The 24,473-nt window shown below is 34.9% G+C and overlaps 1 protein-coding gene across 3 annotated transcripts in view, besides 1 other annotated feature; it reads right to left on the reverse strand.

Annotated features, from left to right (window-relative positions):
* Window positions 13,764-13,964: a silencer, noted in NCBI's record as "peak5063 fragment used in MPRA reporter construct". NCBI's record gives its function as "represses an SCP1 promoter by STARR-seq MPRAs in K562 erythroleukemia cells {active_cell/tissue: K562}" and the evidence as "EXISTENCE:reporter gene assay evidence [ECO:0000049][PMID:32103011]".
* ANTXR2 (ANTXR cell adhesion molecule 2) overlaps window positions 16,229-24,473 on the reverse strand; it is a 172,327-nt gene continuing 164,082 nt past the window's right edge. For all 3 annotated transcript variants that reach the window (NM_001286780.2, NM_001286781.2, NM_058172.6), the window contains exon 17: window positions 16,229-22,550. In NM_001286780.2, coding sequence (NP_001273709.1) covers window positions 22,512-22,550 — 39 coding nt within the window. In that variant the 3' untranslated portion in view covers window positions 16,229-22,511. The remainder of the gene's footprint in view (window positions 22,551-24,473) is intronic.

Below are 24,473 nucleotides of genomic sequence, written 5' to 3' on the forward strand. Positions count from 1 at the left end.
CAGCCTGAAAGTTGGTTTAATTTTCTAATAACTATGTTTGTACAACCTAAAAGTAAAGTAAACAATGAAAAATAATTATATGCATTGTCTTATCCGTTAGATGAAAAAGCTAGATATTTGGAAACAAATGACTGGATGAATTTATTTTTCACTTGCCAACTGAAATGAGCAGCAAGAGTATGTAAATATACTATAATTTGAGTAGCATCAAAAGGATCCCTGTTTAACTGTATTTCCAGCACAAGTATTTCTCAAATTCAAACTGTGAATAACGTTTTCAGAGAAAGTGTCAAAGATCCTGATTAAAGTAAGAAAGTAATTCATTAAGCTACTAACATCTCATTACAAATTAGCATATGAGATTAGCTAAATAGTAATCTGATTGTAATGATATTAGCTAACACACAGAGTATATACTTTATGTCAGTCATGTGCCTAAGAGCTGTATGTATATAAATTTAAATGATCTTCCCAACACACCCCTGAGGTAGACACCCAGAGGGTAATCATTATTATTATCCCCAGTTTACAGATGAGGAAACTGAAAGATAGTATTAAGCAATTTGTCCAAAGTGGCACACTTAGGAAATAGTAGAACTGGGATTTAAATCCAGGAACATAAATCCAGAGTCTGTGCTCTTAATCACTATGGCACAAATAAAGCACCACAGTGTGGATGGTGGTACAAAGTAGAGGGGATTCCTCCCTTGCCACACACACAAACGTAAATAGTAAACATAGTGTCTCACTGATTTGCCTAGGGTCAGTGATATATACAGGTGGATGGAAAAATATGTTTATGCATATATAAATAGGTGTATATATAGACATATATATGTATACCTACATATATATATACATATATACATCTATACACCCAGGTATATAGGTATATGTATATATACATATATGTACCCATACGTGTGTAATGAAATTTTATATAAATATATGTGAATATGACTGAGAAACTGGTGAAAATATGAGCTACAAGAATAAGTGTCCTAAAATTTAAGGCATAAAATTCCATATCAAGTTCATAGAACTCAAGTTCTAAGTATATCTTCCACAAAATTGCATTTAATTAGGTACAAACAGATATATAACATTTATAACTTTTTTCAAGTTTTGCCACTCTTTTCAGAAATTGTATTATCATTAATTATTATTCATTGAGTAAATGGATGACTATTTATTAAGGGACTGGATTAATTATTACTTATTGAGTGCTCACAATGTGCCAGGGACGGCTGGCAGAGCATAAAGGGACACTGTTCTCACCCTCGAAGAATTCACCAGATAAAGAGAAAAGACAGATGCACTCAGCCTTAGCCTTTAAAGGTGGTTATTGGTGTTTTTGTTACACAGAGAGGATGCTTTTGTGTGCGCGTACATGTGTGTGTGTGGTCAGCCAAATAATATGTGACTTACTTGACTATTTCACTTGGTCGTCAATTCATAGGATTGGGTCTTAGAAAGTTGAAATTAAAGCCATGTATCAGGCCTCATTTTCCCCCACCACACAAAAAGAAATCAAAAGGTCCATGTCCCATGGCAGGGCATCAGGACATCTATCTGCTCTCTGCATCTTGTCCTGTCCCTCTGGGGGTCTTATTCTAGCATTGCATGCCTTCCCTCTCTACTAGCTTTTCTCCCCCTTCATCTACAAATATTAATAATTTAAGTCACCTTGTTTTGAAAGGAAGTAATAACAAAAGCATAATAAGTTCTTTTTATCCTACAAAGTCCCATTGCTGACCTTTTTAGCCAGCCTTCCATTTAACTTCTTAGCCTACTGCAATCCAGCTTCTATCAATCTAGCTTCAGCTCACTGAAACTGTTTCTGTTAGGTCCCTAGAGACCACTTTATTACTAAATCACATGAACATTTTTCAGCATTTACCCTACTTGACCTTCTGCAGGATTTCGCAAAGTTGATAAGTTCCTCTGAATTGTATTAATAAGTATTTCAAATAAATACAAATATACAAGTGCTTTAAAAGACACTCTTTACCTACTATTCAGGTAAAACAAATATTGACATTTTGCCATGTTTGCTTGAACTTTAGCTTATTTAAAAAAATAAGAAATACCTAAAAATTCCCCATTATTTCCCCATTATTTTCCTCTCCAGAAGTAGCTTATAACCTGACATCAATATTATTGATGCCTTTTTCAAAATATTCTGATCCTTTGGCTTGTGTGCATCATTCTCTCTTGGTTCTCCTCACCCATTTTGACATATAATTTTTAAAATATTTCGCTAATATCCTGTTAACATAGATACCTCTCCAGGTTCTGTTTTTGGTGGTCTTTGTCCACCCTCCAAATTTTCTTTGAGTGATTTCATTCATTCTTATGGTTTCAAGCAACATCTCTCCTGAGGTATAAAACTAAGCATATTAACAGCCTACTGAAAATTGCCACTTATATATTTCACAGGCAAACCAGTGGGACCAGAACTAAGCACATTTTTTTTTCCTATGTTAGAGCAAAGTTTACTGCTGTAGTAGACAGGCTCACATTTCTCCTATATTAAGGTAGTAGTTCCAAAATATGTCCACAAATTCTTTGACACCCTCTCCTTCAAAAGGTGGAGCCTAATTCCCTCTCCTTGAGTGTAAGCTAGAGTTAGTGACTCCCCTCTAACAAATATGAAGTGGTGAAAGTGATGATGCATAACTTCCAAGCCTAGGGTTGTAAAAAGTGTTCTCTCTCTCTCTCTCTCTCACTTGCTTTGGGGAAAGGAACTTCCTATGTCATGAAGACACTCAAGGAACTCTATCGAGAAATTCATGTATCAAGAAACTGAGGCCTACTGCCAATAGCCATATGAGCGAATCATCTCAAAAGTGATTTTATAGCCCCTGTAAAGCCTTCACATGACTGCAACCTTATGAGATATCCTGAGCCAGTACCACCCAACTAAGTTACTTCTAAATATCTGACTCCATAGATGCTATGAGGTAATAAATGTTTATTGTATTAAGCCAATAACTTTTCAGGTAATTTGTTATTATATGGGGTAATTGTTATTATAAAAATAGAACACCGACAAGTAAGTTAGAAAAAAATTAGCTGCTCTAATAGATAAGCCTGCAGTTTTTAGTCACTTAACACAATAGAAGTTGAAGTGTAACACTTTCTGTTTCCTACCAACAACTTCATACTATGGAAGTGGGAACATGAATTTTCTAGATGTTAGTTTTCTCAGACATACTTTCATTTTCCACATTAATGAATGGCATTCCCAGCCTTTTGCAAGCTAAATTTGCCAAAGTCAGAAACCTGTGAAATGTCTTGATTTTCTGACTCTCTTCGCCTTATACAGGTAATCAATCACCAAATATTGTTGATTCTAACTTTACAATATACATTTTTTCCAATCCATTTTACTTTCTTTCTCTGCTGCCATTTTAGGATAAGATGATTGCAATAATTGACTTTCCTACAAATTTTGCACCCTTCAACATATTCTCCATACTGCATGTTATAATTTTTCTTACCTTAATATCCAGTTATATCTCTTTCACATAAAAAATAAACAAATACAAAACAATACAATCTTATTAGCCAATTATCTAATAAATATGTTCTATATACCTTAGATTGGGGGAAAAATGTTAACGATGACATTGAGATCTTTGACTGACTTTCTAAGCTCATCTCATGACATTTTCCTTACTTCAAATTTCAGATTTCAGCCACTCTGTACCTCCATGATTTCCTCCTAAATGAACAATGCTCTCTTTTGCCTCATTAACATTACATATGCTTCTTCATCTAATCTTTCCTTTCATCTTTATTCTTTACTCATGAAGCCTCATTTCAAGTACCATCTTTCTCAAGAAGTCTTTTCTCAGCACCTACTTGGTATTTGTTCATTCTCCTGTAACATGCTGTGCACACCTCTCACTTTCTTTTCTTTGCCATCAGACTCTTTGGGAATTTGAATCTCCACAATCTATGCCTGGGAACACTATAGGTTTCCCCCAAGTTACAGTTTATTTTTATTACACTTTAAGTTCTAGGGTACATGTGCAGAAGGTGCAGGTTTGTTACATGGATATACATGTGCCATGGTGGTTTGCTGCACCCATCAACCCGTCATCTACATTAGGTATTTCTCCTAATGCTCTCTCTCCCCTAGCCCCCTACCCCTCAACAGGCCCTGGTGTGTGATGTTCTGTTCCCTGTGTCCATGTGTTCTCATTGTTCAACTCCCACTTATGAATGAGACCATGCAGTGTTTGGTTTTCTGTTCTTGTGAGAGTTTGCTGAGAATGATGGTTTCCAGCTTCATCCATGTCCCTGCAAAGGACATGAACTCATCCTTTTTTATGGCTGCATAGTATTCCATGGTGTATATGTGCCACATTTTCTTAATCCAGTCTATCACTGATGGGCATTTGGGTTGGTTCCAAGTCTTTGCAATTGTGAACAGTGCCACAATAAACATACGTGTGCATGTGTCTTTATAGTAGAATCATTTATAATCCTTTGGGTATATACCCAATAATGGGATTGCTGAGTCAAATGGTATTTCTAGTTCTAGATTCTTGAGGAATTGCCAAACTGTCTTCCACAATGGTTGAACTAACTTACACTCCCACTAACAGTGTAAAAGCGTTCCTATTTCTCCACATCCTCTCCAGTGTCTGTTGTTTCCTGACTTTTTAATGATCACCATTCTAACTGGTGTGAGATGGTATCTCATTGTGGTTTTGATTTGCATTTCTCTAATGACCAATGATGTTGAGCTTTTTTTCATGTTTGTTGACTGCATAAATGTCTTCTTTTGAGAAGTGTCTGTTCATATTCTTTGCCCACTTTTTGATGGTTTTTTTTTCTTGTAAATTTGTTTAAGTTCTTTGTGGATTCTGGATATTAGCCCTATGTCAGATGGATAGATTGCAAAAATTTTCTCCCATTCTGTAGGTTGCCTGTTCACTCTGATGATAGTTTCTTTTGCTGTGCAGAAGCTCTTTAGTTTAATTAGATCCCATTTGTCAATTTTGACTTTTGTTGCCACTGCTATTGGTGTTTAAGTCATGAAGTCTTTGCCCATGCCTATGTCTCAAATGGTATTTCCTATGTTTTCTTCAAGGGTTTTTATGGTTTCAGGTATTACATTTAAGTCTTTAATCCATCTTCAGTTGATTTTTCTATAAGGTGTATGGAAGGGATCCAGTTTCAGCTTTCTGCATATGGCTAGCCAGTTTTTCCAACACCATTTATTAAATAGGGAATCCTTTCCCCATTTCTTGTTTTTGTCAGGTTTTTCAAAGATCAGATGGTTGTAGATGTGTGGCATTATTTCTGAGGCCTCTGTTCTGTTCCTTTGGTCTATATATCTGTTTTGGTATTAGTACCATGCTGTTTTGGTTACTGTAGACTTGTAGTGTAGTTTGAAGTCACATAGTGTGATGCCTCCGGTTTTGTTCTTTTTACTTAGGATAGTCTTCGTTATGTGGGCTCTTTTTTGGTTCCATATGAAATTTAAAGTAGTTTTTTCCAATTCTTTGAAGGAAGTCAGTGGTAGCTTGATGGAAATAGCATTGAATCTATAAATTACCTTGGGCAGTATGGCCATTTTCATATTGATTTCATGTTGATTTTCATATTGATTCTTCCTATCCATGAGCATGGAATGTTTTTCCATTTGTTTGTGTCCTCTCTTATTTCCTTGAGCAGTGGTTTGTAGTTCTCCTTGAAGAGGTCCTTCACATCCCTTGTAAGTTGGATTCCTAGGTATTTTATTTTCTTTGTAGCAATTGTGAATGAGAGTTCACTCATGATTTTGCTGTCTGTCTGTTACTGGTGTATAGGAATGCTTGTGACCTTTGCACATTGATTTTGTATCCTGAGACTTTGCTGAAGTTGCTTATCAGCTTAAGGAGATTTTGGGCTGAGATGATGGGGTTTTCTAAATATACAATCATGTCATCTGCAAACAGAGACAATTTGACTTCCTCTTTTGCTAATTGAATGCGCTTTATTTCTTTCTGTTGCCTGATTGCCCTGGCCAGAACCTCCAATACAATGCTGAATAGGAGTGGTGAGAGAGGGCCTCCCTGTCTTGTGCTGGTTTTCAAAGGGAATGCTTCCAATTTTTGCCCATTCAGTATGATATTGGCTGTGGGTTTGTCATAAATACAAGTTATAGTTTTAATGACTAAGTGTATGTATGAATGAAGTGAGTTTATGGACCTTTATACCTGTGCTGTCCAATAGAGTAGACACTAGTCACAGGACATGGCTATTTAAATTAAAATTAATTAAAATTAAATAAAATTGAAAATTTAGTTTATCAGCCCCTCTGGCTATATCTCAAGGGCTCAGTAGATATTAATAGAGGAATAGAATACACTGATTAAATTCAGCCTTCTAACTAGCTTACAAATGCAAAAAAATCCCTGGGAAAGGAGTAGTTTCTTATGTGATTAGCTAAATGTAACTTTGTATGAATGGGGAGGTTGGACCATTCCAGTGTAATGCTTGATCTCATTTTATTTGATTAGGCAAATTATAGACCAACGGCATGAAATGTATTACTATACCAATGTAAACTCCAAAATGTGAATCTCATTATAGCTGTGGCCTTGAGGCCTTTTAATGTTGAATCAAACTAACAAGTTCAAGTAGTTCAAAAGAATGTTCACACATACACACAGTTACACACATGCACACTCACACACAGGTGTTAATTAGCTCTTCTGCAAAGGAAAGCTTAACCCCTTGTGCTATAATTCAGGGAAAAAAAAAGAAACAGCAACATCAGTCAATTTGTGAAAATAATAAAAATAATCAAGCTACTTGAATGTTGCAGCAATTTCAAACATACTTAATTGTGTGATTTCGATGTAGATAGTAAGTGACCAGGTTGACAGAGAGCTAGACTCTAGACTACAAAAAACATCATATGTTCTGGCAAATATTTCACCACACTTTTGGTTGTACAACATTTGCGTCCCAATCATATAATTCAGGAATTTCATCTCCTTATAAATCTAGGTGGAAGTCACAGCCTATGTGTTTGCTTGTGGCAACAGCAGTGTCTGTATCAGACTGGTCTACTTATAAAATTTTTGGTTAGAGATCTGACTTCAAATATTTCCTACATATATGTTTGCTTCCTCAACCTGGTATTTTATTCCCTACCCTCTGATCTTTCCGGTGTATCTGTGCCTTTCATGTCCTTTCATTTGATTTTCTAGGCATAGTCACCCAGGTCAGAAAAGCAGGCTCAGGAAGTGCTGGCTTATGGGCTACTTATATATTTCATTTGTATCGAATGCCACAAAGAACTTGACTGACACACCTGCCATGGTAAAGTCTTTAAATTTCTTAACCTACGGACAAACTGGAGCCATTGAAGGGCTACAAGTCAGAAACAAAAATTTTTGAAATATAAAATGCTACAATCCCTTTGGGGGACAGTGTGGCAGTTGTTAAGAAGTTAAAATGTACCTATCATTGTCCCTTTCCTATTTACCCAAGCAAGATGCATATGTTCATAAACATATGCATACAAATATAAACATACAAAGGCTTGTATACAAATGTTCATATGTTTACAAACATAATCATACAAAGGCTTGTATATAAATGTTCATAGCAGCTCTATTCATAATTGCAAAAAACTGAAAACAACACAAATGTCCATCAACAGGTGAACAGATAAACAAATTGTGGCATATCCCTACAGTGGAATACTATTCAGTAATAAATAACATCAACTATTTATATATGCTGCAACTTGGATGAGTGAAAGAAGCCAGTCTCAAAAGTTTCCATACTATTAATATATAATTCCATTTATTTTTCATTCTCACAATGGTAAAGCTATAATAATGTAGAGCCTGTCAGCTTTGGAGAGGGGTTTGTGACTAAAAGGGGATGATTTGAGAAGGTCTTTTGGGGGGGTGGGACTATTCTGTATTCTGATTGTAGTAGTGTTTATACAAATCTATAAATATATTATGGTTCACAGAACTTCACACATGCACACATACATGCTCACCAAAAATGTCAAAATTACTGTATAATACATTTTAAAACAATATTTTAAAGTGAAAAATAGTATACAATTAAAAATAAAAATAATTCTATGAAATATAGTCTACACAATACATCATCAAAACTTAGTAGTAGAATGTTTATTTAACATTAGAAATATCATTTTTTGAGTTTCTTTTACCTTTTCATTTTGAGATAATTGTATATTCATACACAAATAATAGAGGGAGTCTGTATATCCTATATCAGGCATCTAATGATAACATCTTCTAAAGCCATAGTATTTGAATAGTACAATATCACAACTAGGATATCAGCACTAGGACAGTCACAATAGAGAAAATATCATTGTTCCAAGGATCTCTCCTTTTGACATTTTATAGCCTTACCTGTCTTCCTGTCTTTACTTGGTCCCTTACCCTTGGCAACTACTTTTTCATTTCTATCATTTTGTTGTGCAGTATGTAACGTTTTGGGATTGACATTTTTCACTCAATATAATTCACTGGAGATTCATCCAAGTTACTGTGTGTACCAATAGTTCATTCCTTTATTATTATTGAGATGTATTCCAAATATGACTATACTACAGATTGTTTAAAAATTCACCAGCTGAAGGATATCTAAGTTGTTTTCAGATTTTGCAACTACAAGTCAAGCTGCTGTGAACATTTATTTTGACTTATCTGGGATAAATGCTCAATTGTGCAATTTTCGGGCCTTATAGTAATTACATGTTTTGTTTTATAATACTGCCAAAATGTTTCCCAGAGTAGCCTTACCATTTTACATTTACACCACACAATATATGAGTAATACGTTGTAGAAATCTAGTTTTTCTACATCCTCATCAGCATTTGATGTTGTTACTACTTTTTAGTTTAGCCATTCTGATAGGTGTGAAATAACATCTCATTGTGGTTCTAATTTGCATTTCCATAGTGAATAATGAGGTTGAATGTCTTTTCATATGCTTATTTGCCCTCTATGTATCCTCTTTACTAAAATGTCTATTTTTTTTGCCCATTTTAGTTTCTTTGTTGAGGGGATTTTATTGTTGTTTTACTGGTAACTTTTGAGAGTTATTTATATATTCTAGATAATAGTTCTTTGTCAGATGCAAATTCTGTAAATATTTTCTGCCAGTGTGTAGCTTGTTTTTACATCTTCTTAACAGGGTCTTTCACAAAGCAAAAAGGTCAGTTGTTCTATTACCGTTTATTGAAAATAATATTCTTCCTATATTTCATTGCTTTTGTACCTCTGTCAAAAATCAGCCAGGCATATTTGTAGGTCTATTTCTGAGTTCTTTATTCTGTTTTATTTATTTGTGTATCTATCTATCTTTCTTCCAATACCACATTATCTTGATCACAGAAGCTAATAGGGCTTAATAATTGGATAGCATAACTCCTCTCACTTTTTCCTTCTTTTTCAGAATTGTTTAGTTATTCTAGGGCCTGTGTTTTTGCATATAACTTTAGGTAAGGTTTTGTATGCATACAAAAAGGCTTTTCTAGAATTTTGATAGGAATAGTATTAAGCCCATAGATTAGTGTGGGGAGAATTGACATCTTTACTATATTGAGTCTTCCAGTTCAATAACATGTCTCTCCATTTTTTAGGACTTTAATTTCTTTCATTAGTATTATGTAAATTTTAATACATGGAGCCTGTGTGTTAATTTTATACATAAGTATATCATTTTATTGAAGTAATTGTGAATGATATAGTGTTTCAAATTCCTGTTTCCGCATTTTTATTGTTAATATATACAAATGCAATTGATTTTTGTATAATCATCTTGTAGTCTGTGAAACTACTTACCCTGTGAATTTACTTATCAGCTTTAGGAGTATTTTTGTAGATTCTTTAAGATTTTCTACATTGACAATTGTGTCTTCTGTAAGTATGGACAGTTTTATTTCTGCCTTCCCAATGTGTATGTCTTTTGTTTCTTTTTCTTGCTGAGACTATGCTGAATAATAAGAATGGCTGAGAGTAGACATCTTTATCTTGTCTCTGATTTTAAGTAGACATTCAGTCTTTCACCATTAAGTATGATATTAGATATAGATTTTTTGTGATTCTCTTTTGTGAAGTTCAGAAGTTACCCTTTGTTCCTAATTTGCTGAGAGTTTTCATCAGTAATAAATATTGGATTTGGCTAAATGCTTTATTTGCATCAACTGACATGAGCATATAGTTTTTCTTCTTTAGTCCGTTGATATCATAGATTACATAGATTTTTTAAAGTTGATCGGCCCTTGCACATCTGAAACTACTACTACTTTGTATGGTATACAGTTATTTTTATACATTGCTGGGTTCAACATGTATTATTTTGTTGACAATTTATTACCTAAGTTTATGAGAGATAATGGTATAGTTTACTTTTGTGTGTTTTTTTAAATACATTTTTGGTCTGGTTCTGTAGCCTCATAAAATGAGTTGGAAAGTACTTCCTTTATTTTTCCAAGGAATAGATTGTGAAAATTGGTGTTAATTCCTTATTAAATGTTTGAGAGAATTCACCAGTGAAATGGTGTAGAACTGGATTTTGGGGCTTGGGGTAATTAAAATTCAATTTCTTTAATGGTTATTGATTATCCAGATTGTTTCATCTTAGTTGAGTTTTGTTAGTTTCTGGTTTTTGAAGAATTGGTCCATTGCTTGTCATTAAGAAATTTCTAAGGAAAGCCGTTCATTATGTTCTCTGATTATCCTTTCAACGGCTGAAGAATCTCCAGTGACATTATCTATCTTGTTTCCAACATTGATGATTATTGTCTTTTTAAAAAATCTTTGTCAGTCTTGCCAGAGGTTTATCAATTTTGTTGATTCTTTTGAAGAACCAGCTCTTTGCTTCATTGATTTTTGTCTATTGTGTTTCTGTTTTCAATTCCATTGATTTCTGTTATTATTTTTACTGTTTTCTCTCTTCTACTTGTTTTTAGTTTATTTTACCCTTTTTCTCCGAGTTTCCAGAGGCAAGAATTTATTGACTTGAGACTATTCCTTTTATCTAATGTAAGCATTTAGTGCTACATATTTCCCTCCCTGCATATCAAAATATGTGGGATAATGCAGCCTCTTAGAAAATGATCTGTTTCAATGAATGTTCCATGGGCATGTGAAAAAAATGTATATTCTGTTGCTATTTGGTAGTTGGTGCTATATATATATGTCAATTAAATACTGTTGATTGGTTACGTTGTTCAATTCTATATTCTTATGACTTTTCTATCTAGTAGTTCTATCAATTGGTGGGATTTGTGTATTTGAGTGTTTAGCTATAACTGTTGATTTATTTATTTCTCCTCTATCAGCTCTGTCAATTTTTGCTTCATGTATTTTGAGGCTCTCCTCTTTTTTTTTGTTTTTGGCATGTGTATGTTAAGGATATTATGTCTTTTTGGAAGACTGACTCTTTTATCATTATATAATATCTCTTTTTGTCTCTAGTAATATTCTTTGTCCTGAAGATGACTTTATCTGATTATTAGTATAGTCACTCTTGCTTTTTTAAAAATTTATATGCGCATAGTATATCTTTTTTCATCTTTTATTTGAAATCTATGTTATTATATTTGTAGTGAGTTTCTTGTGGATAGCATATTGTTAGGGAATCTTTTTTTAATCCACTCTGCCAATCTCTGTTGTTTAATTCATGTTTCAAGGTGTACGCTAGGTGACAAGATACGCCTACTTGTGCTCTGTACCCATCAATATAGGTTCTGTCTCAAGGGAGGTACTAGTGTCTGTGCCTGCTGACATTCCTTGTTGGAGGTCTCTGCAGTATCCTGTCTGAAATATGTGGAACAATAAAGAAACCCAGGATTCGCCTTCGTATTGTTCCTCAAGTCTGAGGACCTTAAGCAGTCTTGACACATTTCAGAGACTCTTTTTTTGTTGTTGTTGGGACTCTTTTTTGTTGTTGTTGTTGTTGTTGGGACTCTTTTTTTGTTGTTGTCCAGGGTTTTTTCATTGTAAGAGGCAGGACCTAGTAAGAATGGGACTTCTTTCTCTTGCAGAAACTAGAAGTCTGAATAATAATTTTCCAGCTCATCAATACATTTATTAAGAGCCTATTATTTGCCAGACATTTTGCCAGGTGTGTTGCTAAGTAAGTAGGAAAGGAAGGAAAAGGAAGGAAGGAAGGAAGGAAGGAAGGAAGGAAGGAAGGAAGGAAGGAAGGAAGGAAGGGGGAGGGAGGGAGGGAGGGAGGAAGGAGGGAAACATGTACTCATTTTCCCAGTTTCAGCAAACATTTCACTGCCTTCTCTAATGACTCCAGCTAGGCTAGCCCCTTCCCATTACATGTTCTCATCGCACTTCTAAATTTCCCCTTTACAGATCTCATGACACTTGCATCTTATCAGTGTCTGTCTTCACTTGCAGACAAGATTGCTGAGAATAGTTATCTTTCTTGCTGCAGTATCCCATTGTCTACTGCAGAGACGGGCACAAGACAGGCATCTGCCAATATTCATTAATTAAGCTGATAAATGCTCAAATTCAAGGCAGTTTCCTTTCTCTCTGCTTTGTTCTTACTGTTGGTCTTCATCCCTGGTATAATTGCTGCATGATGGCTGACCTTCTTGGTCAGTTTTTGGCTCCTTTCTATCGCCAATAAAACCAGACTCCCTGACCTATCATCTTTTGCTTAATTGGAAGGGTTTTTCACTTCTGGCTATTAAGCACAGCTAACATCCAGGACTCCACCCCAGAGACGTCATTCATGCCATTCTCCAGGGGCTATCAGAAAAGTAGAGAGCTGTGGAGGGCTGTAAAGTTGAAGTGCCTGGTTTCATCCAAAGCAACATTTTTCTTTACCTGCTTTGTGTGGATCAGTTGGTAAAATGAGGAGCACATGTTGCTGTTAAAATAGAATAAATACCTGGGATAGCTTATTATCACAAGGTAAAACAGCAAAATATAAATCTATCTGTTCAGTTTTCCATTGTGAAATAATCACGTCACCATATAATCCTTGGAAATTAAAACTAAGACTCTTAATTATCCTTTCACTGTCTTGGGTTTTCTTTCCTTTCTTGTCCAACATTAACTGCTTCTGCAATTGTGATAAAGCAATGATCGCTATCAAAAGGTCCTTCAGCTAGCCCTGAAAATAATTTCCTAGGAACCCCTGCTTTTTGCTAGGAATCATGTAAACCTTCTTAACCTCATCATTTTTATGGTATTTTGTTTTGTTTTGTTTACCCTTAGGGGATATTAAATTTTTATGTGGCTAAACTTCTCTGTACATAGGCCAAAGTAATGTTTTGCAACAAATAGAATGATTTAAAAGCATTTTGATTTCACGGGAAGGCTGTTAATGTACACTGAAAATTGTGTGGCAGCAAAATGAGATACTCTCAGCCGCACAGTTTATCTAGGGGCACCTGTATAAAACAGGCCTCATTTAGCATTAAATCTCATTTTATGTGATCAGGGTTTATCTTTAAATGGGCCACTCAGGATTCATGCTATAAGACTTTTTTACTGAGTTTCAAGAGAAGGTCCTTCCACCCTTCACCCATACCCTTATAATGCAATTTATCATAAAATTTGCCTAGATTTTGGCCAAATTAGCACTGTATATGTCATGTGCATCTGGTATATATTTATTAAATAAAAACAACAAAAAATATATAAAAATACTTTGGAAAATTGTAAAATAATATGTTATTAATGTTATCAAGTGATTTGCCTGATTTCCTCTAAACATGTTAGGAACTCACTATTTAGAGATGTCAAATTACTTCACATGAATAATCAGGGATAGGCTTAGGATCACAAAGTGCATGAAAGTTCATATTGTAGGTCATTCATAGCATTTTCAAATGTAACAGTACTTAGAAAGGAGTGTCTGTGTGTGCATGTGTAGCTATATAAAGTACAAAAATATGAGAGATGTGGAAACTATTCCTATTGCGTGTATACAATAATTTCTTTCTGAGAACTCAAGGTGCATGGCACATAATGTTATGTTTTAGGGAAAATCTACCGGGAGAATCTGATCCCTTTTACTTCTTTCATTTTAAAGTTTCTCAATTTTATTGATGTCTTCTTTGAGATTACTACTTGAAAAATATTTAAAATGGGTGTTAGTTCTATTGCATTTATTTATTTTTATTTTTGTTTTGTGAAACAGGGTCTCGCTCTCTCACCCAGGCTGGAGTGCAGTGGCACTATCTCGGCTCACTGCAACCTCCACCTCCTGGGTTCAAGCAATTCTCCTGCCTCAGTCTCCCGAATAGCTGGAATTACAGGTGCCCACCACCACGCCTGGGTAATTTTTGTATTTTTAGTAGAGATGGGGTTTCACCATGTTGGGCAGGCTGGTCTCGAACTCCTGACCTCAGGCAATCCACCAGCTTTAGCATCCCAAAGTGCTGGGATTACAGGCATGAGGCACCACACTCGGCCTAGTTTTATCGACTTTAAAATCACTCTCCTTTTTTTTTTTTTATTCTAGAAAAAACAATTAGCAGGTGGGGAAAGCTTTCTAAGATTCATATGTCTATTACTGATGTTAACATTAGAATGTCAACTTATTTTTGTTCTTTGTCGCTGGTGATGTTTCAATACCTTCTAAGTGGATTTTCAGTATGACAGAAGAAAATATTATAGGCACTGACTCTAGGTTTAACTTCCGGGCATGTGCAGATAGGCCAAGTAAATGCTCCAGAGGCAACAATAACCTGACATGTGTTTCTCAGTTTTGGACGAAGTTTTTCATCTGGCGAAAAAACTTTATTCCCTGGCATTTTTCCTTTTCTGAGAAAAATCTCAAGTAAAATATAAAGCAGTAGAAAGGGGACAAATGGAGTTACAAAAACAAAACAAAACAAAACAAAAAAACAGTGTAACAAGAAATTTGGGCAGGTAAGGTTCTAAAGTAGAAAGCAGAATTCATCTTGTATATCTTCTTATGGTGTCAGATACAAGCAAATATTCAATGAAATGAAAATGATTATAAGCTTTGTTGTGGGCTGAACAATGGACCCTCAAGATGTCCACATCCTAATCCCCAGAACCTGTGATTGTTACCTTCTACGGCAAAAAGGACTCCGCAGGCATGATTATGTTAAGGGTTTTGACGCAGAAAGATTATCTAGGATAATCTAAGTGGGTTCAATGTGGTCAGAGTGGTCCTTATAAGAGGGAGGCAGCAGAGCAGTCACAACAGGGGATGCAATGACTGAAGCAGAGCTTGGAGTGCTAGGCTTTGAGGATGAAGGAAGGGGCCACAGGCTAAGGAATACTGGCAGCCGCTAGAAGCTACTTCAGGCAAAGAAATAAGTTCTTCTCTCTGAGCCTCTAGAAAGAGCTAGTCCTCTTGAAACCTTAACTTTACCTAATTGAAATAGATTTGGGACTTCTGATCTCCAGAACTGTAAGAGAATACATTTGTGTTGTGTTAAGCAACTGTGGTAATTTGTTACAGCAGCAAGAGGAAACTAATACAAGCCCTCTCTTCTCGAGTTAATTGATGTTCAAAGTGTTCTTGAAAAGTTAGAAATGATAAACATATGCAGTAATGACCCTGGGTTGAGATTTATCAGACTGATTTTTGAAATTAAGGAAAATATTTTTAAGGCAAAGTGATACCTTCTGTTTTATTAATGATTTTAAAGGAATAATTTGAGGAGTATGATATTTTTACTCTGCCAGCTCAATAAATGTTATAGTTTTAAAATAAATTATAGATTGGCTTTTCTCTATCATTTTGAGTTAGAATTTTAAAAATCATTGATTTAACTGTATAAATTCACCACCTCAGAGCTTTTTGAGTGTTGACAGTAATACAGAGATGCTGAGCTACCAATAATGTCATTGTAATTTTCTTCTCTTTTTTTAGTATTGTGTTATTGTAATCATATCACTACCTCTAAAAATGAGAAAAAGTACACTGAATATTCCAGGTCACAATTTAGTCTTTGATATCCTTTAAAATAATTATTTAAAATCCTTTCAAGCTTTCTGAGACACCTAGCTTATTATGAAGAATTCCAAGATGTTAAAACTACTAAAATTTTTCCCCATTTTGTAAAACATTAAGAATTTGTTGAAGATTTTTTACACTTGAACATATTGTTTAAAATATAATCTTTCTTTCCATGTGACAGCCTCACACAAACAAAGTATTTACAGAAGATGCAGGTCTGTCATTGCTGTTTAATTAACAGAGACTTTCAGAACTAGAGGATATTAAAAAAAGAACTAAAAAGAACACTTTATTGTGATAATAATAATGGCTTCATTTCACATCAGAATTTCAACTAGTAAAAATTCTATTTACAGGTGTCATCTGCTAGAACTAGTCAATCTTGTTTTATATTGTGAGTTTTTCTTTCCCCAATTACTTATACAAATCAGATGGTGGAGTACATGATAAGAAGTTTAGATTTGCTTCTAATTTGGCACATGATGTAACAATTTCCTTTCTCTATCATTTATTACTTTGGAAGCTTTTGGTTTCTTTGTTTGGCATCTAAATTGTTTAAAATCACCTTGCCTTTTAGTTCATGGAGACAATGCATATCTTTTTCATAGTCTACACCCTAGAACAACCATACCCAATATTTTTGGCACCACGGACCAGTTTCGTGGAAGCCAATTTTTCCACAGACCGGGGGGTGGGGGGTGGGGATGGTTTCAGGATAATTCAAGTGGATTACATTTATTATGTACTTTATTTCTATTATTATTACATTGTTATATATAATGAAATAATTACACAACTCACTATAATGTAGAATCAGTGGGAGCCTGAGCTTGTTTTCCTGCAACTAGATGGTCCCATCTGGGGGTGGTGGGAGACAACAACAGATCATCAGGTATTAGATTCTCATAAGAAATGCGCAACTTAGATCCCTCACACACAGTTCCAAAAGGGTTTGTGCTCCTTGAGAATCTAATGCTGCTGCTGATCTCACAGGAGACACAGCTCAGGTGGTAATGCGAGCGACGGGGAATTGCTGTAAATACCCATGAAGTTTCACTTGCTTTCCACTCATCTCCTGCTGTGTGGCCTGGTTTCTAACAGGCCATGGACCAGTACCAGTCCATGACCTGGGGGATGGGATCCCTGCTCTAGAAGACTAGTTCTTGCCTTCTTGCCAATTATTTCTAGTCAAACTGAAACCTACTTAAATGTACATTTTAATAACTTTAACAATTTATTTTGGATCACCCACTGACATTTACAATGTTGTAAATATAATTCATCTAAGATACAAATAACTTCATGGCAATTAGGAAACCCTATTTAGGTTCCACTTTTTAAAATTGTGAATTCTTAGATCACAGTATCCTTCTACATTAAGACAATGCAAACTTTGTGAAAGGCTAGCAATTGTAACATACTATGGATTTTAAGCTGTGTTCAAATTACTTACTTAGTAAAGTATTTTCCACTGAATACTTGCTATGGGTAGCACAGGCATAGTAACTGTCAATTAAGACTTTTTTTCCAATTTTGACTAAAAAAAGAGGAGTTTAGTAATTTTTCTTTCTGTGGTATACAAAGTATCCCAATTATTAAAACTGGGAGCATAAATATCTCCTAACAATCTCTGTGCTTCTTTATATATGTTTTTAAGACACTTGCTAACCCTATGAAACCAGAGTGAAGTACATGCATACATTTCCCAATGTTTTACCCATCTTTTTAGAGATTTCATCAGATATAAACTGTAAGTTTCCTCTTTGACAAATTTAATTATAAGAAATTAACTAAGAAATTATTATGGCTAATTATCAACATATACTATAGTTCAAGGTATTTTTTTTTTTTGCAACTGACAGTTTACAGAACTAATATTACCACACACTACAGACAAAGAAGCCAGTCATATTGATACAAATATGAGATACAAAAATACTAAAACCTCCAACCTAACCATATTAATAGAAATGTAGTCAGAGGCCTGGTGCAGTAGCTTGTGCCTGTAATCACAGCATTTGGGAGACTGAGGCAGGAGGATCACTTGAGGCCAGGTGTTTGAGACCAGTCTGAGCAACATAGCGAAACCCCATTTCTACAAAAATACAAGAGTTAGCTGGGTGTGGTGTTATGTGCCTGTAATCCCAGCTACTCAGGAGGCTGAGGGATGAGAATCACTTGAACCCAGGAAGAGGAGGTTACAGTCAGCCCAGACCATGCCATTGAACTCCAGCCTGGGTGACAGAGTGAGACTCTGTTTCAAAAAAAAGAAAAAAAATCTAGTCAGTGCTAAAAGGAACTTTTGATATCTTCATTCCATCTTCAGTCTATGGTTGAGAGTTGATCTGTTCAACATCAGCAAGCTAGTTGATGGCTGGGTCTATGGTCTAGGACCTCTCTGTTACCTGATTCCTAAGCTAAGACTCTTCATAGAAAACACATTGAGTCAATTCTCCCTCTGTTTCTCTCTCTCTCTCTCTCTCTCACACACACACACACAATTTACCTTAATATAGTTATTGTAGAGCAATCTAAACAAGCATATTTTTATACAAATTTACATGTTGTACTGTGTACTTACTTATCAGCCTTTTCTTTTGGCAGGAGAGCACAAAAATAAAATACATTAAAAAACCAGCGCAGAACCTGCTACATTATGGATTTTCAAAAACAACAACAAAAAAGTCTTTCTTTTATCCGATCGACTGAATTAGATTCCAGTAGGTGTGGAAATATATTAAAGTGTTCTCAGAAATATGTCATAGAAATTCACTAAGCACAATATTAATCTAACTCTAAACTAGAATATGCGTCTGCACTGACTTTATTTCCTACAAATAGACAACATTCTCCAGCCTCACCTGCCTGTTTCTTTCCTTAACTATGTAACAGATGTACCAAGAGTTATTCTATGTTTCTAGATTATGTATTTCCTTTCATATTGAAATGATGCATATATTTCTTTCCTGTGTACATATACCCACCAAACTTTTCCAGTAGTAATGAAACTCTCAAAAACTTTCTAAAGTAATGTGATGCTAGAAAATGCTAGTAAAAGCTAACCAATATACAATATATGCATGGAGTAGGAAGTTATAATTCCTTCTACTTGTAAATGTGACCTAATTACATTCTGCCTTCTTAAATTTCAAAAATAACATATATAAGCTGGTCTATCAAAATGTTTTAAACACCTAATTATCCACAATATAGAATTTGTTTCAACTTTAAACTAAACAAATGTATCTGCCTCTGAGCAGTAAACAATGGTTAGTGATATTTAGATAATAAAGTTAACTTCACAGAAACACCCAAATCTTGTATCTAGTAAGGATTTATTATAACAAATATTGAATAATTTATTATTTAAATGGTTAGAATAAAGTTCAAGGGAAATATAAGCAAACTACTTCTTTCTCTAACAATCTGAAATACATGGGGGTTTAAACCTTCTATATTTTTGTCAAAATAGTAATTAACCATAGATGACAGATGCTGCTCCCTAGTCAATGGAGGGTCTCAAATTTTACTCTGCATCTCATTGGGAAGGAAATATAAATTTTTAAAATAGAATTAACTTAGGGAAAGGCATCAGTGCTGCAACTCTTAGCACCAAATGTTTTTTCTTGGAGCACCAAATGCTCTAAGGAAAACATTCCAAGTATCAAAGTTTTCAGATAGATAAATATTTATGGATCAAATCCATAAAGAACAGACATTGTTATGAAATATATATAGATGCCTTCAAAACTTTCTTTCTAGGCAGAGTAGACACATAAGTTAGGAGTCATTTCCCACTTAATTGTTTTTGCAACCTTATGCAACACGAATGGATTATGTGCAAGACTTATTCATTTTTACACAGAAAGTAGATCTTGACTGACATGGTGTCCAGAAAATCAAACAGAAGCTATTTCTCTATATAAAATATAAAGTGCCATTAAATTTATAGAAATGGCTTCATTTTAATCTTTTTTTGGTGGAAAAGTATAGGGATTTTTGATCTGGTCTTTTGGTAAGAAAATAACACTCTTCAAAACAAATTCTTTTCAACTGCTAGTTAGTATAATTGGAGAAAAGCATAAAACAGATCTGGTTCATATCTTTAAGGGCAATGAAATTCCATCAGTCTTTGAACTTTATTAATGATATTTTTTCAGTCTACATATAGACCACTGCCACTTCCTCTTCATTAAGAGCTCTTCATAGTAGCTGTATAACAATCTACAGAAAGTTATTTTTCCATTTAAAGGCAGAGGTTAATTTTCATTGTTCATGCAGCAAAATGTAAGTATGCTACATAATTCTAGAGAAATTTGAAGTAGTTACCAAAGAAACATAGCCTTAGCTTCTGTAGTATTCTCAATGATATTAAAATAGCAATAATTGGTGTGCACTCATCAGAAATGAAGTGCCCATTTAAGGAAGCCACATTAGGTCTTGTTCCAGATGCAAATGCAGAACAAAGGGATACAATAACTCATTGCAGAAAGGGTTGGGTATACTATATCAGGCTTCCAAGTTACACTTGCATATGCAGCTACTGCCAATAGTATCATCTGTGAACATGAGGGACATTTTGGAACTGAATAGAATTCCATCCCTGAAACTAAGCATAACAACTGCATATTCAACCCAAGAAGGCATTAGCTTTATGTGGGCTTAAAGAAATGGTAGCACAGGCATAGGTAAAATTTTTATTTATGAATGTGTGGACACATGACTTTGGATCCAGCCAGCCAGTGACATAAATAAACTTGAGCAAAAGTTTCAAGCTAGAGGATATATATGTATAGAAAATTATATATTTGTGTGTGTGTGTAAGGCCTCTTGGAACAGTGCCACAAACCTGGACACCAACCAACAGAATACTCCCGTCCTTTGAAATTTCCATTAAGAGCACAATGGGGGTAATTATACCAGGATGCTCCAATCGCTCTTTCCATCTTGTGCACTCACATGCCCGCCAAACATGAAATGTTCGCCTTCTCCCTTCCAATGTGATGGTTGTTGAACTTATTTTTAGTGTCATTTGATAAGCCTTTGTGCTCACAGAGAGACATCCCACTGACCCAGCCACTGGTCATTGTCTATACCAGTTCACATCAAAGCAGGCGCACTTTGTCAGGTTTCCACTCGAATATCCATTTCGCATCTGAAGTACAGTATCGAAAGTGACTAGATCATTTGAGCTTTTTTCTTCAGCTGCTGCCTTCCTCCCCCACGGTGTTTCTGCTCACGCTAACATAATTTGGCATCGTCGACGTGACACGATGGTGGTTTTTCTAAAAAATTATAATACATACATCGTCAATGTTTTGTGATAGCGACCCTCCAGAAGATTTAATTTGTAAATTGAAGAAAGGTGGTCTTTTTCCTCTACTGAATCATAACCAAGGTAGAGTGCCCCTCAAAATCCAAGTAATGCGCATACAGTAATAGGTCATTCAATGTCAAAAGGCATAAAAAAGATGAGCAAAATCTTCACAGGCTGCTGCTTGCTGTTGCTTTTAATTATATTAATTAAACTTTGAAATTTTAATGCAAAGAGAGTTGCTGGCTTGTGACGCTGAAGAGCCCTTGGAGACTTGAAGAAAGAAAAAACCCTGAGCGGAAGCTTTGTGGTTACTGCTTCCTTTAAATTAAAAGCAAAACAAACTTCTAGGTATGTTTATGGATATTAATGCTTTATGCACTACTAAATCCTAAACACAGGAAAAGGGGGAATCTACTAGTCACAGGGACAAGTTCGCAAAAAATGAGTCCCTTGCACTACACTCAAGATCTCTGGCTAGAGGCCTTCTGTGGAATAACGCTCTATTAATTTTCTTGTCCCGAGTGCATAATGAAAGAAAGGTGTCTTCGAAAACTAAAGGGCAAAATCTTGCTTGCTACCAATACCTTGAGGCATCTTGTCTACATTTTGTCATGCGTGTGCACTTTTCAGTGTTAGAATGACAAGATTTTCCAGTCAGAAACTTCCCATAAGGCACACTGTGATAGAGCACTTGGAAGGATTCTGTGATCTGACATAGCTATAAGGCAATGGACTTCTTTATTTGCTTAGCCTGGTGGGAAATTTCATACTCTGCCTATGGATAAAGATCTTGCCACATAAAAACACAAGTGCCATGTTTCCATGTAAAAAACTCCTGTCTCCCATCATGGCTAGTTGTTTTGTGGTCCTTGTTTTGGTATCATCTTCGTGTTGTTGCTGTTGTTGCTTTTTCCTCTTCTACACATTCAAACAAACTTTCTTGTACAAACCATAGTCTGCAGGTCAATGTTCCTCTTTATTTTCAATGTCATAAATCATGAGTTACCACTGAGTTTCATCACCTCCCATGTAGATGGCAGAACAAGTGTTTAGAAATGTTTGGTGCAAGCAAAGCAGAAGGCAGAGAAAACATTTCCCGACTGAGAGGAATTAAGCTGCTCTTCCAAAAGCTTCTGAAATGCACTTGATTTTTTTCATTTGGTTGAAAATCAGCTATGTGAAAATGTGCCATCTTCGTACCTTCTTGGTCTTCCTGCTTCCCTTTTACTGAGATGGAACTCGGGAGAAGTTTATGCACCGGCCCTGAAGAAAGAAATAAATCCATATTGAAATATTGAAGCCATTATTTAAAAAAGCATGAGAACATCTAGTTTTCCTACCATGATAATAAATGATTACCCAAGGAAAGTACCATGTTAACTTGAGACATGAAGTCATAATTTTTTTTTCTTGGGTTAAAGCATGATGGTTCATTCAGATCTTTTCCACAGTAAGTTCACCTATGAGATGGTATGGTATAATTAATATGGAAAAACAATTATGGAAATAGAATGTTACTATTATCTAAAATACAGCATTACTATCACGGCCATAAAAATATCAAAGCCACAACCCAATATACTTCTTTATGTAATGAATTAAAATGAAAATATTTTCTTATGCAAGCTGATGCTCCTAAAATGCATACATGAGGATCACATTTAGTAAGCAGTAAGAGACTGAGGATGAGGAATCCCAAAAAAGGTATTGTCATCTCTTTGTAATTCCCTTTTATGAAGGATTTTTGCAAAATCATGTCCATTGTTACTGACCATTTCTCACCACTGCACACCACCATGATGTGTTCATTTCAAATGGTGACTATCTGCACTTACACATTTCTAAAGAGGATTTGCCATTCTAATTTCTTAACACTTCTGTGAAGGTTGTGTGGACACACTGTTCCATGTGTATTGTAAATAATCCAAGAAATATTTGAAAACAAAGTTTCCAATTAGTGATAAAAGATACTTTCCTTTTCTCTCTTTGGTATGATACTACTGATCCACTGTACCACCTAAATCATTCCCAGATTCCTCAACCAGCCAAAAGCTAGCATAGTGCTTTCTAAGTTAGGGTCAGGATTATCACCCTATTGACATTTCTGTATTTCTTACAATAGCTGCTCTCAAAGTGTTTTAGATTTTAGAGTGTCTCTTTATTTCCCTCTAAATGTAAGTTTGTTTTTAATATCCAAAGCATGATAAAATTCAAAAGCAACAAAACATTGTTGAAGAAGAATGGTTGGAATATAAAAGCAGAATTTTTTTCCATTTTTTCCAAAAATGACTGCTCAATAAATTTGAAAATTTCAGAAATTAGTGAAGAAACAGAAAAGCATAAAAACAAAACAGAGCTAGGAGTTTCCATTAGTTTTTGCTAAAAGGCAAACATTCATCAAATTATCTGTCTTTTAAATACTTTTGGAAGCAACATTATTACTACAATTGCCAATTTTTATTACTTACTTTGTGTTAATGTCTACAAATCATATCAGTGCAAAAGGAAGTAGGAAAAAAGCAGATAGAAGATCAGATTAAAATGAGGTCAAAATTCCTTACTGATACAGGTCATAGGTCATGTACTCCAGACTGTATTTTTGTGTTACCTAGAACTTTCAAACAAGATTTTCAGAGTGCATATTAAGTGAAGAGGTGCTCTTCTCTAGATTAGCTAAGGGAGCTATGTGTGTTGCCAAAACACAATAAAACAATAAAAGTGTTATTTTTCACAACACGTTATGTTCCATGGTTAGAAATACTTTTTCAAGAGGGACAGGTAGGAAAATGACATCATACATAAATAATTGAGGCAAAAAAAGTAGTGCTTCTAAAACACAGTAGTATATATATTCAATGAGAAATAGATTTGAACTATGCAAATTCAACAGTGATCAACATTTAAAATATTATCTTCTGGCAATTTTCCAGAATTGAACAAATATATGAGGAATGATATTATGACAGCAAAGATATAAATTAATGACATCTTTTTCTTGTGTATTTGTAGACCAAAAAGTAATAGTTTTCTCTTTTCTGTACAAGTTTGAAAATAATTATGAACCTCTATTTTCACTTGTGTTTTATCACTTATTAAATGGATATAGATATAATGATTCTTCTGTGACCACTTCCGTTCTATATACCATATTAACTTTAGTGTGTGATGACTAGTAATGGTTAGTAG

The sequence above is a fragment of the Homo sapiens genome, chromosome 4, assembly GCF_000001405.40.
Source record: "Homo sapiens chromosome 4, GRCh38.p14 Primary Assembly".
NCBI classification, from domain to species: Eukaryota; Metazoa; Chordata; class Mammalia; order Primates; family Hominidae; genus Homo; species Homo sapiens.